The sequence below is a fragment of the Homo sapiens genome, chromosome 2, assembly GCF_000001405.40.
Source record: "Homo sapiens chromosome 2, GRCh38.p14 Primary Assembly".
In the NCBI taxonomy this organism is placed as follows: domain Eukaryota; kingdom Metazoa; phylum Chordata; class Mammalia; order Primates; family Hominidae; genus Homo; species Homo sapiens.
In genome coordinates this window covers 199,928,913-199,941,711 of record NC_000002.12, presented here as the reverse complement: position 1 = coordinate 199,941,711, position 12,799 = coordinate 199,928,913, and the positions used below count along the sequence as shown (strand labels likewise).

Here is a 12,799-nt window from a genome sequence, read left to right as displayed (position 1 = left end):
TGTGTCTGGTGCATTAATTTTATTTTTTAAATCTTGAAATGTTAGAACTAGTAGAAAACCCTTAGACTTTCGAAGAACATTTTGAAACTTATTAGCCAGTAATTTATAGAATCTATGTGATGTGGTGCTAGCTAAAAATAGAAAAGCACTGAGAGTTCAATTAAAACCTCAATCATCAATTTATGTCTTAAGATAAATATTATTATCTTTTGAAGTTTATGTTATAATTCTCAGTGTTGGGTGAAAGAGGCAGAATTCTGAGTTTGGATTGCCCAAGTGCTTGACTTGGTATATCTCACTTCTCTAACAGTGAATGTTTTATAATTCAAACAGTTCTCTAGTTACTTGGTGAAGGATAAATAATAATTTTTGGCCTCGCACAGTGGCTCATGCTTATAATCCCAGCACTCTGGGAGGCCAACACCGGAGGATCACTTGAGTCCAGGAGTTCGAGACCAACTTGGACAACATAGCGAGTCTCCTTCTCTACAAATAGTAAAAATAATTAGCTGAATGTCCCAGCTACTCGGGAGGCTGAGGCAGGAGGATTGCCTGAGACCAGGAGGTTGAGGCTGCAGTGGGCGTGATCGCATCACTGCACTCCAGCCTGGGTGACAGAATGAGTCCCTGTCTCAAAACAATTAATTAATTTAAAAAATTTAAATAATTTTTTTAAATGATCAGTTTACGTTTACTACAATGAAATTATATTTTTCTAATTCATACATGAGCTGAATCTTAAGCATTTGGCTTGAGAATTTATAGACAGGGATAGGCTTAGCTTGATAAAATGCAGTGTTCTCAAGTTTAAAAAAATATATTATTAAAAGCATAAGGTATTTATCTGTTACTGTACATTTATATTTACTAAGTATTAAGACACTATTAAAATAAGAGTCTAAATAATTTGGAACATAAAGACTAAATCATTGTAGCTTTAGAGATGGTATGTATATGTTGCCTTTAGAATTTATTTTACTTATTGTTTTATGGATCCAGTCACTATCATGAGCAACATATTAAAGACATTTCTTCATATGGCCACCAGAGAGCATTAGTAGAAAGGGTAAGAGAACTGAACTTTTTTTTTTTTTTTCTTTTTTGAAAAGGTCTTGCTCTGTCACCCAAGCTGGAGTGTAGTGTCACAATCATAGCTCACTGCAGCCTCAGCCTCCCAAGTAGCTGGGACTACAGGCACGTACCACCATGCCCAGCTAATTTTTTGTAGATGGTGTCTCACTCTGTTGCCCAGGCTGGTCTTGAGCTCTTGGACTTAAGCAGTCTTCCTGCCCTGGCCTCCCAGAGTACTAGGATTACAGTTGTGACCCACCACGCCCAGCGATAATTGAACTTTTTAGAAAACTACTTAACTGGGTCAGATTTTAAGACTTGTTTCCTAACTTTACTTCCTAATATTTTTGAAGTGAAGGTGTTTTATTTTTTTCCGTAGTTCTCAGTACATAATTCTTTTTTTTACTTTTAATTATTATGAATACATGATAGCTATACAAATCCTAGTATTTTTACATTTGAAAAAGTAAAATATTGCTGATGTTATTTTTCTCTGGGGTGTTTAAGGATGAGAAATACTACTTACGGTCACTTGGAGAAGACCCTAGAAAGGTAAGAATTCTAAATGTAAAACAATTCCCTAAAATCTAAATGGATGTATGTATGTTAACTGGCAACACTGTAATTTTATACTTACTGCCTGACATATTCCCTGTTCTATCCTTTTCCATTCTTCTCTCAGTGATTTGTGCCCCTGAATAAGAAGTAAGATGATTAAAAAGTGATTACTTTGTATTCAGGTAGGCCTGTAGAATCTTAGTGTTTATAGTCATCTAATCCCTATACAATAAGAAATCTCTTCTACTGTATATTTTATAGGTGGCAACTCAGTTAACAAAATATTAATTTGAAATAATTATTAGAATCCTGAATAGTTCATTGTATAAGTTTTGACATGTATTCAGAGTCAAATTAGTATGGCTGTGATATTAAAGAGTAGTCCCTAAAATGATCAAATAAGATTATTTTTTCCATTTATGTCACCATTTAGTTGTTTACCCTCTCTTTTAGTCCCCTCCCTCAGTAGAATTCACAGGTTTTATGTAGGTGATAGCTAGTAATGTTAGTTCAAGGTGTTGACTCCTGAATATTAGAGTGGATGACATTTGTGTAATTTGCTTAAAGTAGAAAGAACCTTTCTATTAATGAAGCATATTGAGCTTAACAGTAGTGATACTATAAAATCTGCAGTCTTGTTACACAGCCTGGTATTTCTTCATTTGAAAGATCATGTATCGGCCAGGCAAGGTGGCCCCATGCCTGTAATCCCAGCACTTTGGGAGGCTGAGGTGGGTGGATCACCTGAGGTCAGGAGTTCAAGACCAGCCTGGCCAACATGGGGAATCCCGTCTCCACTAAAAATACAAAAATTAGCTGGGCGTGGTGGGAGGTGCCTATAATCTCAGCTACTTGGGGGAGAGAGAGAGAGAAAGATAGAGAGAGAGAGATCATGTATTGGCACATGGTCACATCATAGTATTTTAAAGCAGTGAACAAAGTTTTGCCCCAGTCTTCCTTAATATCATAGGGTCTAATCTAATTTTTTCTTTTTATGTTTCTGTAAATGCAGGATGTTGCAGATATCAGAAAGCAGTTTCCTTTGTTGAAAGGAGATATTAAGTTTCCAGAATTCTTCAAAGAGGAACAGTTCTTTTCCAGTGTTTTTCGAATTAGTTCACCAGGATTACAACTATGGACTCATTATGATGTATGCTACATAAATGAGAAATTTAAAGCTACAATAGATCTTTAGCATTATAGATTTAACAGTCACAGTTTCAACTTCCTATAGGTTACCCTAAACATCTGTGTAATTTGCTGAAACATGACTTTTGAAAATAGGTGCTGTGCATAGCAGTGATACAGGAATGAATTATTTTGCTAATGGCAAAGCCTAGTTGGTTCCTCACATTTGTATTTCCCTGTGGTCCTATTCTTGATTCATCATCATATATATACCAAGTTTTGTGAAGTGATTTTTTTTTCCATGTGAAAAATGGCCACCAGATAATGGGGGAAATTGTATTGGAAAAAGTGATAAGCCTTTAGTATAAGGAGGTATAAATGATACACATGACTCTGGCTACCCAGAGATCCATAACTCTCTGGGTCATGCAAAGTTATGTTATTCAGGAAAAAGGCTGAAGCTTGTTGAGTCATTACCAATTGTAAGAATTTGGGGATATCTGAAGATCTTAGGATATATATGCCTTGAGAATGTCAAATATCTGCTGTATTTGTAGGGCAGCAAAAATGTGTACAATATTGATCTTGATCTGCTGGGCGCGGTGGCTCACACCTGTAATCCCAGCACTTTGGGAGGCCGAGGCGGGCGGATCATGAGGTCAGGAGATCGAGACCATCCTGGCTAACACGGTGAAACCCCGTACCTACTAAAAATACAAAAAATTAGCTGGGCATGGTGGCGGGTGCCTGTAGTCCCAGCTACTCCAGAGGCTTAGGCAGGAGAATGGCGTGAATCCAGGAGGCAGAGCTTGCAGTGAGCCGAGATCGCACCGTTGCACTCCAGCCTGGGCGACAGAACGAGACTCTGTCTCAAAAAAAAAAAAAATTGATCTTGATTATTTATGATGTTATTTTGTTTGCTTAAATTTATGTACACATCTATAAGCGTTTTAAAAACATTAAAAATACTAGTATGGTATATGGTTTGGTGTTGGGAAGTAGAGAAACTTAAGGAAGGTAAAGGAATATCTAACAAGTTTCCAAAGAAAAAAAAATTTTTAAGTTCTAAATCACAGTATAACATTTTATACATGTGTTTTGTAATTCAGTTGAGACCCTCTTGGGAGGATTTTACCATAGTCAGTAAATCTGTAATTATGAAATAGACATGAACTCTTAGCATATTTTACAGTTTTATATGAATAACATGGTGAGAAAATCATGTGGTAATACATTTTAACTATATTCTATGATGATGATGATGATGATTGTTGTTGTTGTTTTTTGAGACAGAGTCTTGCTCTTTCACCCAGGCTGGAGTGCAGTGGCACGATCCTGGCTCACTGCAACCAGTCCCTCCCAGATTCAAGTGATTCTCGTATCTCAGCTACCCAGATAGCTAGGATTACAGGCATGCACAACCACACCCGGCTAATTTTTTTTTTTTTATTTTTAGTATACATGGGGTTTTGCGACGTTGGCCAGGCTGGTCTCAAACTCCTGGCTTCAAGTAATCCGCCCACCTCGACCTCCCAAAGTACTAGGATTACAGGCATGAGCCACCATGCCTGGCCTCTATGATTATGTTTTAAATTTTGAGTAGTATCCCCTTTACCTTGAATTATAATAGAATGTAATATATAAAGCTTTTATTATAAATTAAGTCAGAGGAACGCTAGTTTGAATTGTATAGTTATGGTTTACATGAGTAAAGGGTTAGTACTAAAAGGAAGAATGCTTAGGTAGAAGTAAAAAATCATGAATATATCTTGCTTAGTGCTTATCTTAAATCCTTAGCTGAGAATTATGTGACTCTGCCTTTAACATTTTTTCACAATCTATACCAAGAAAGTATACCATTACATTCATGGGAAACGATTGCTCCAATAATAAATATATATTAAGAAAATCTGTCATAAATCACCATACTGTTTGCAGAAAAGGAAAAAAAAAGAAAATCTGTGAGATTATATTCCTATAGAAATAATTTGAAAATCAAGATACCTATAATGAAATTATGGTTGAACATATATTAAGAGTGTAGCAGCAGTTGCAACAGTACCTTGTATTTTCCTAGCATCTGATTTTTCTAAGTGCTTTTACTCTGTTGTCTAATTTTGGGCTTATAGCATTCCTTAACAGATAGTAAATATTAACCAAGGGGAGCCTTAAATAGGCTTAACTATGCTGTCAGTTAATGGTGAGGCAAAGGCAAATCGTTTTCTGACTCCACATTTTCTAATTTGCCAAGTCTTCCCATTTTAGGGCAGTACTGCAGAAATGTCTTGAAGGCCCAGTTGTATATGGAATACAAATGTTTTTATTGTTAGGTAACTGTAAGAGTCTTAAGTAAGTCAAGTCTCATTAAAGGATCGGGTTTGCAGTTAAAGTTTAGCATGCCATTGGTTCTATTTATTTGAATTTTAGATAATGATTACCCATAAGCTTTTATTGGTCTTCAGGTAATGGATAATTTGTTAATACAAGTGACAGGAAAAAAGCGTGTTGTACTCTTCAGTCCTCGAGATGCCCAGTATTTATATTTAAAAGGTATGGGATTTTTTTTAAGTTTATATTTCAAAAGTCTATTCAGTTACTCTTTTTGAGAAATCTCTTGATTCTTATAGGAAAAGAACACTTCAGTACTTAATCCTAATTGTATTTGTGTATATATGTAATAACAGGTTCAAATTTGAAATTATCTTATTACATGGGTATCAGTCATCAGAATTAAAGAGTGAGTCATTGAAAATTGTCTTAGGTGTCAGTAGCATAGTAATTCTCACAGTGTTGGTACAGTAAGTAACTGGATAGAAAAGAATAAATTTTCAAATTTATATTTGTGATTACTTTTTTTAAAATGCTAACTTTGCTGAATCTATATTATCCCTTTTTGGAACTTTTTAGGTACTAAATCAGAAGTACTGAATATAGATAACCCAGACTTGGCTAAATATCCACTTTTTTCCAAGGCTAGAAGATATGAATGTTCCCTTGAAGCTGGTGATGTATTATTCATTCCTGGTAAGATTTCTAGACCTCACTAATGTGCTATTTATAAAATGTGTACTCTGTCACTCATCCTTCATGTGATTTTTTTTTTTTAGTACAAATATATATTTGTTATATGTATCCGGTCCTATACAAGATGATTTTTAGACAAAACTCTGTGTGTGCGTGTGTGTGTATGTGTGTGTGTGTGTGTGTGTGTGTGTGTGTGTGTGTGTGTGTGTGTTTAAAGCAGGCCTAGGCAAACTTATTATAAGTTAACAGCCCTTGTAGTTTTGGCCTATAAGTTAACAGGTCTTGCACTTTTGGCCTCAAGCAATCCTCCCAACTTGAACTTTGGGAGGCCAAGGTGGGAGGATTGCTTGAGGCCAAAAGTGCAAGACCAGCATGGGCAACATAGCGAGACCCCGTCTCGACAAAAATAAATAAATAAATTTAGTCAGGCATGGTGGTGTGCATCTGTACGTCCCAGCTGCTCGGGAGGCTGAGGCAGAAGGATCTCTTGGGCCCACGAGGTTGAGGTTGAGGTTGAGGAGGTTGATGCCATGGCATCATGGAATCACTGTACTCCACTGTGAGCAACAGAGTAAGACCCTGTCTCTGAATAAACTAAATTAACAGTCTTGCTTTCAAGGGCAACCTATAAAAATAATATTATACTCTATTTTACTAAGTGACATCAAGTAAGACACATTTTTTATAGCTTTTATTTATTTATTTATTATTATTTTCAAAGTGGGACACTTTATATCTGGGAAAAGATTATACTTGTTCGTTTTCTAAATTATTTTTTAAAAATAATATACTCTATTAAATGACATCAAGTAAGACACTTTATATTTGGGAAAAGATTATACTGATTGGTTTTGTAAATTATTTTATTTTAAAAATATTTCTGTATTTTAGAACTGTGTCACTTAAATATTTACCAAAAAAAAATGATAAGTATCTTTCAAGGCCAAAACAGATGAAAGATTTCATATTAAAATGTTATAATCTCAACACCTGTAGTATCATTTGTGTACATTATTTTTCTATACAGTCTGGATTTGTGTCACTTAATTTCTTTGTTCAATTAATAGGCATTAGTTTGAAAGTCCATAAAGTTCAACACAGCAAGGTAATTAACATCTGTAATTAATACTTAAAAGTGAACTCTTGAAGATTATAAAAATCATAATTAAAATTAAAGGGATATATTAACAAATTCTATTTATAGTTGTAGTTCCATATTTAAATTAATCTATTAAGAATCATTAATACTTTTCACTGATAAAAATAAGTAAATATTAATAAAGATCCATATTTGATGACTTCTTTTGGGACTAGATTATAAATTCCTTGAAGACAACTATGTTTTGTTCATCTTTGTCTTCCCCAAAAGGGCCAGATATGATATAATGGCTTTCATATAATTGATAATTTATAAAAAGTTGACTTTTTATTCTTATTTTCATTGAAAGCAACGAACGTATTAGTCTTCAAATCTATTGCCATCTTTTAAATTTACACTTTTGGTTTTTGTATCTTGGGAGCATGATTAAGATCTATGTAGTTTTCCCTTATTCTTCATACAATTGTTTTAAGAAAAAAAAAAATACTGAACATTTGCATATATTTTTAAACAAAAGCAAAATTCCTGTCTTTGGGTTTAAATTCAGCTGAATGGTTAGCATTTTCTTCCTATTATATTGAATAAGGGAAAAAAAAGATTCTGAAAGAAAGTGTAGTTAAGATTAAAACCATGTTTGAAAATTAGTTTTCCAAATCAAAATGTTAAGCTTTTGTTTTTCCTTAAACACTCTTAGAATAAGTTTCTAAAATTTAAATCTCCCTTTCACAGGATTAAAAGGGTTTTTCCTGTGATTAGTGTTCCATCTTTGTTATATTGTGGTATTGCTTTAGTATTCCTCTAGCACCTATATTCTGAAAATGTTTAGATTCAATTGAAAATAAAGTAAATTTCCCAATAAAAGGAAAAAAATTAATTAGGTATATAATAAAGTTTACTCATCATTTCCACCACCAAAATATTTGCTGTAGTTTTGTATACTATTTATAAAGGAGCTGAAAGAAATATAAGATGATTATAATTGCATTCAAAATATAAAACGAGGAGGCTATAATGAATACGAATTTAAGCAAGTTAGAAAACCAAATCGCAGCTTGAACAGGAAGTCTTTAGGGACAAAAGTATTATAATGAATCAGAAAAGGTCAAAGATACTCCTCAAGTAATTGAAATGTTCTGTGTACCAAAAAATAAACACTTTGATGTGGTTGTATGACTCAGGAAGTATAAACAAGTAACACAAAACACAGCCCTAGATTAGAGAACTGCAAAACAAATATATCTTTATTATGTCTTTCAAGTTTAAAGGAAAAATTGCTATTTCTAAAGGTTTTAAAAGTAAGGGTTGTGCTATTGACACTTTAAATTTGTTGGCAATTCATAAAAGTTAAAATGATTCTGTTAAAAGCCTGGAGTGTGCTAACGAAGGGATCTGGTTACAAGAATTATTTCTTACATTGGCTATATGCAATTCGTGATATTTCACTGACATTTTGGGTTTTTTTTTAACTGTAGGTTTTATTTTTAACTTGTTTTTTAAACTTTCTCCAGCTTTATGGTTCCATAATGTAATTTCTGAAGAGTTTGGAGTGGGAGTGAATATCTTTTGGAAGCACCTTCCATCTGAATGCTATGATAAAACAGATACCTATGGAAACAAAGATCCTACAGCAGCATCAAGAGCTGCACAAATTCTGGACAGAGCCTTGAAAACACTGGCCGAGTTACCAGAGGAATATAGGGACTTCTATGCACGACGAATGGTCCTACACATTCAAGACAAAGCCTACAGCAAGAACTCTGAGTAAATAATGAAGTGAATGCAATGCACATTAACACTTTAGTAAGGTATAACGATATAAATTAAAGATTTTGTTAAAATAGGAAAGATACATCAGATTTACAGATTATGTAAGTACGAAGGGGTGTTTGTGTGGATTCTACTTGATACAGATTGTTATAATTAAAGAATGCTGTGCTGGGACCACTCTTTAACATTCAGATGCTGACCACTAAAAGTCCAACTTAAAATGACTTAAAAACAGTAAGAAAATATATTGATTCACAATACATGAAATCTATTGACAGAATGTGCTGCAGTGTTTCTGATCCAATGATTCAGTAATGTCATCAAGAACCTTGGGAACCCGCCTCCACACCCCACCCCCTTTTCAACCACAACATTGGCATCATCCTAAGGCTGGCTACCCTCGTGGTCATGGGATGATTGCCAGTAGCAGTTGGAGCCTTGTGCATCTTCATTTACATGCAGCGGAAGAGTCAGGCTGGATTCTAGGGGCCCTGTCCTAGTATGAGAAAGCTTTCCCAGAATTCACTTTCCATATCCTTAGGTCTCATTGCTCTAAAGTAACTTAGACCTGTCCATCCCTGAGCCAGTCACTGGCAAAGGGTCTAGAATAACCTTTAGGGCAGTCAGGTCCACTGGAGCTGAGAGTAGAAGTGGAGGCCACATGAGGGATATATGGGGACAGAAAGGATAGTTTTTTTAAAATCATGGTTCTGATAGGAAAAACATGAGCAACGCACAATATCTATTACATTTGCCTAGAAGCAGAATTTTTTGAGGAACTTTAAAAAATGTACAGATACCTAGGTCCCAACTTTGTAGACTGATTCAAGAGTGTTTGGGATTTGGTATAGGAACTTAATAGACCTCACAGGGTGTTCTGATGCATAATCAGAGCTGAGATCAACTGGAGTTGATGATAGTGACTTGGATTATTAGTTTTGTGATTAGTGCAAAACAAATGTTTAATCTGATCTTGACTTTTCTTGCCACCCAGTATGTCAGGGTGGTTTTTGGTTTTTGAATGTTACAAAATAAATAATTTATACCTATGTCTAAACCTTAGCCTAGTTAAAGATTTCCCAACTATTTTTTCCACCTATCCCTTTTTTAAAAGAAAAATTACTTAAAGAATGAATAAATGAGATCCTAAAAGTGTTGTCATCGAAGACAGTGAGCCATTGTGTGTGGATCTCTGCTTTTGTTTTGTACCTAGTAATTATATTGCAGTGTCATTGAAGACCACATAATCTTCACTGAACATAAATGTGTTCATCTAAAGCAATCTCTTAGTACATCAATTTGGTGCATTTTAATTAGAGAAAATCATTTTCTCTATTGAAGAGAATCCATCCACTCATGTCCTATAAATTATAGTAAATAAGGAAAAGCATATATAACATTCTGAATTTCCTAGGTGTCTTTGGAAACAGGTAAGTTACTCAGGTGAATAAAGGTGAAAAAAGTCTTGTCAGAAAAGGAATGATTATATTAGCCAAATTTAATTACCAGGTTTTGATCTTCATTAAGCAAAGCAAAGAACTTCTTTACTGATTCCTTGTCCTTCAGTAAGGAAAAAGACAAAACTCTCCTTAGTTTACACATTATTTATGGTCAGTTTTTAATAAATCTTGTTTTTTTTCTTAACCAGCAAGAGAATTGATACAAAGTATAAATCCAGAGTCATGTAGAAAACTTGGAAGTATTAATAAAACAGATTACAGTTTGTGCACTGAATAGTCATCTTAATTGATTGTTTAATGGAGAAGCAAACTGGATGACCTTAGACAAAATAACATTTATCTATGAAGCTTATTTTCCTCATCTTTAAAACAGAACTACAAAAATGCAGAGAGTTCAAGGGCAGGCACATAGTTGATAACTGGTGCTAGTTCTTCTATTTAATTATATTCCATCTTTGTTGAGAGATTTGAGGTAGCTCCTGTTGCAGTATTAATTTATAATATTTTAAAAGTTAGAGAACTTTCCTTTGGGATGTTTTAAAATTATTTCCCTGGTCATAATTAATATTAGGGTCTGTTTATTTCAAATACAAAATATTTTAATCTTTTCTTCCTACTGGGTTAAGACCAAATGAGATGTTTGTTTTTAATGTATAAAATCTTATACAGTGTATGTTAGCTGCAACTTCTCAGGAATTCTGAATCTTAGAACTTTTTTATTGAAAGAGATCTTAGAAGCCATCTAACCAACCCAGATTGCTTAATGATTGTCTGGGTTCACATAGCTATGGGTGATAGAAACCGGGATTCGTTGTGACCAGTAATTCTCCATTCTCCCTAATGTGCAGCACATCTCCAGTACTTCTGAATAGATTACACAGCTTTTCTTTGGCTAGTTTGGGGGCTTGACCTGATGCAAAAAGGAATTTTTTTCCTCTGCCAACAAAATTTCTCACTGCACTGCTTGCTACACAGACAAGATTCAAAATAAAAGTAATGGTGGGTCAGGTGCCATGGCTCATGCCTGTAATCCCAGCACTTTGGGAGGCCGAGGTGGGCAGATCACGAGGTCAGATCAAGACCATTCTGGCCAACATGGTAAAACCCCGTCTCTACTAAAAATAGAAAAATTAAATGTTACATGAAAAACATATTTGAAACTGTACTGCCATTTGTGTAAAACAAGGTATGTGGTGTGTGAACATCTTATTTGCATATGCATATAATTATCTCTAAGGATGCACGAGAAACCAGTGATAATTATGCCTCCAAGAAGAGGTTCAACTAGGTGGGCTGCTTAGAATCTAGTTTTGTATTATTTGGACTTTTGTTCACATTATCCTTTCAAAATACATTTTAAAAATACTATATGCACCGAGGTGGGTGGATCATCTGAACTCAGGAGTTCGAGACCAGCCTGGGCAACATGGCGAAACCTTGTCTCTACCAAAAATACAGAGAATTAGCTGGCTGTGGTGGTGTGCGCCTGTAGTCCCAGCTACTCAGGAGGCTAAGATAGGAGGATCACTTGAGCCTGGGAGGTGCAGGTTGCAGTGAGCTGGAATTGTGCAACTGCACTCCAGCCTGGGTGACAGAGTGAGACCCTGTCTCAAAAAAAAAAAAAAAAAAAAAAATATTATATGCAGAGCTGGGGAGTGGTGGTCCACACCTGTAGTCCCAGCATCTTGGGAGGCTGAGGCAGGAGGAGTGCTTGAAGCCAGGAGTTCAAGTTCAGTCTGGGCAACATGGGGAGACCTGTCTCAAAAAAAAAAACTAAACAGAGTGTAATTATTAGCATTTCATAACATTATTTGTCTTGGTATTTGAATACATTAGAATTCTATTTGTCCTGTAATTAATTTCTAACTCACTTTGATAAAATACCAAAACAAAGGAAACAAAGTCAACAAAACTTAATTTGTATCCTTCATCCTTTTGAACAGCAGCTATGTGAACATTTGGAAAGAACCTTAGTAAGGCGGCTTTTCTATCACCTATAAAAAGTTGCCAACAGACATCAAAGGAGTTGACAAAAAAAAAAAAAAAAAAATGCAGGAAGCTGGAAGGCAGGCCTGGATGGAATTGGAACTGTGCTGCTGTGACTCCTTTCCCCAGTGCTAAAAAATAGATGTAGTCAGGAGGAACTAACATAGATTGGCAGTCACCCACACATCTCTGGTGTTACCTTAGTCTTGTTTCAAGCATACAAGCCACAAGTTTTTGGGTGTCTTAAATATACCTAAGTTGTAGTCTCTATTTATTTTTTTATTATACTTTTAAGTTCTAGGGTACATGTGCACAACGTGCAGGTTTGTTACATATGTATACATGTGCCATGTTGGTGTGCTGCACCCGTTAACTCGTCATTTACATTAGGTATATCTCCTAATGCTATCCCTTCCCCCTCCCCCAACCCCACGATGTAGTCTCTTTCTAAGTTCCATTAAACAGAATACTAAAATGACCTTTTTTGGTGACTCTTGCCTGTCTCTACCACTAACTGGCTTAAAAGCTGCTGGGTCTCTTCCTTTGTAAAGAGCAACATGAGTTTACAGATGAGGTCTGTCTATATCTCCTCTTATGTTTTTCTCTTAAGAACTTCAAGTGAAATAAAACAAAATAGCTCTTTTATGAATACTACCTTTTGTATTTTACCTCATAAGATTTAATGTATTAAACATTTCTATACCAA

The 12,799-nt window shown here is 35.0% G+C and overlaps 1 protein-coding gene across 8 annotated transcripts in view; it reads left to right on the top strand.

The window, feature by feature from the left end:
- Positions 1–12,799, top strand: part of TYW5 (tRNA-yW synthesizing protein 5) — a 26,579-nt gene extending 13,780 nt beyond the window's left edge. For 3 of the 8 annotated variants that reach the window (NR_109907.2, NR_004862.2, NM_001039693.3), the window contains 5 exons: positions 1,579–1,623; positions 2,642–2,779; positions 5,220–5,307; positions 5,665–5,781; positions 8,389–12,799. Coding sequence is in view for 4 of the 8 variants with exons in the window: in NM_001039693.3 (NP_001034782.1) it covers positions 1,579–1,623; positions 2,642–2,779; positions 5,220–5,307; positions 5,665–5,781; positions 8,389–8,645 (645 nt within the window). In the remaining 4 variants the exon portion in view is untranslated. Of the gene's footprint in view, positions 1–1,578; positions 1,624–2,641; positions 2,780–5,219; positions 5,308–5,664; positions 5,782–6,848; positions 6,887–8,388 lie in introns of those variants that run through there. The other 5 variants (XM_047443271.1, NR_109906.2, XM_047443272.1 and 2 more) reach the window with 5 other exon arrangements.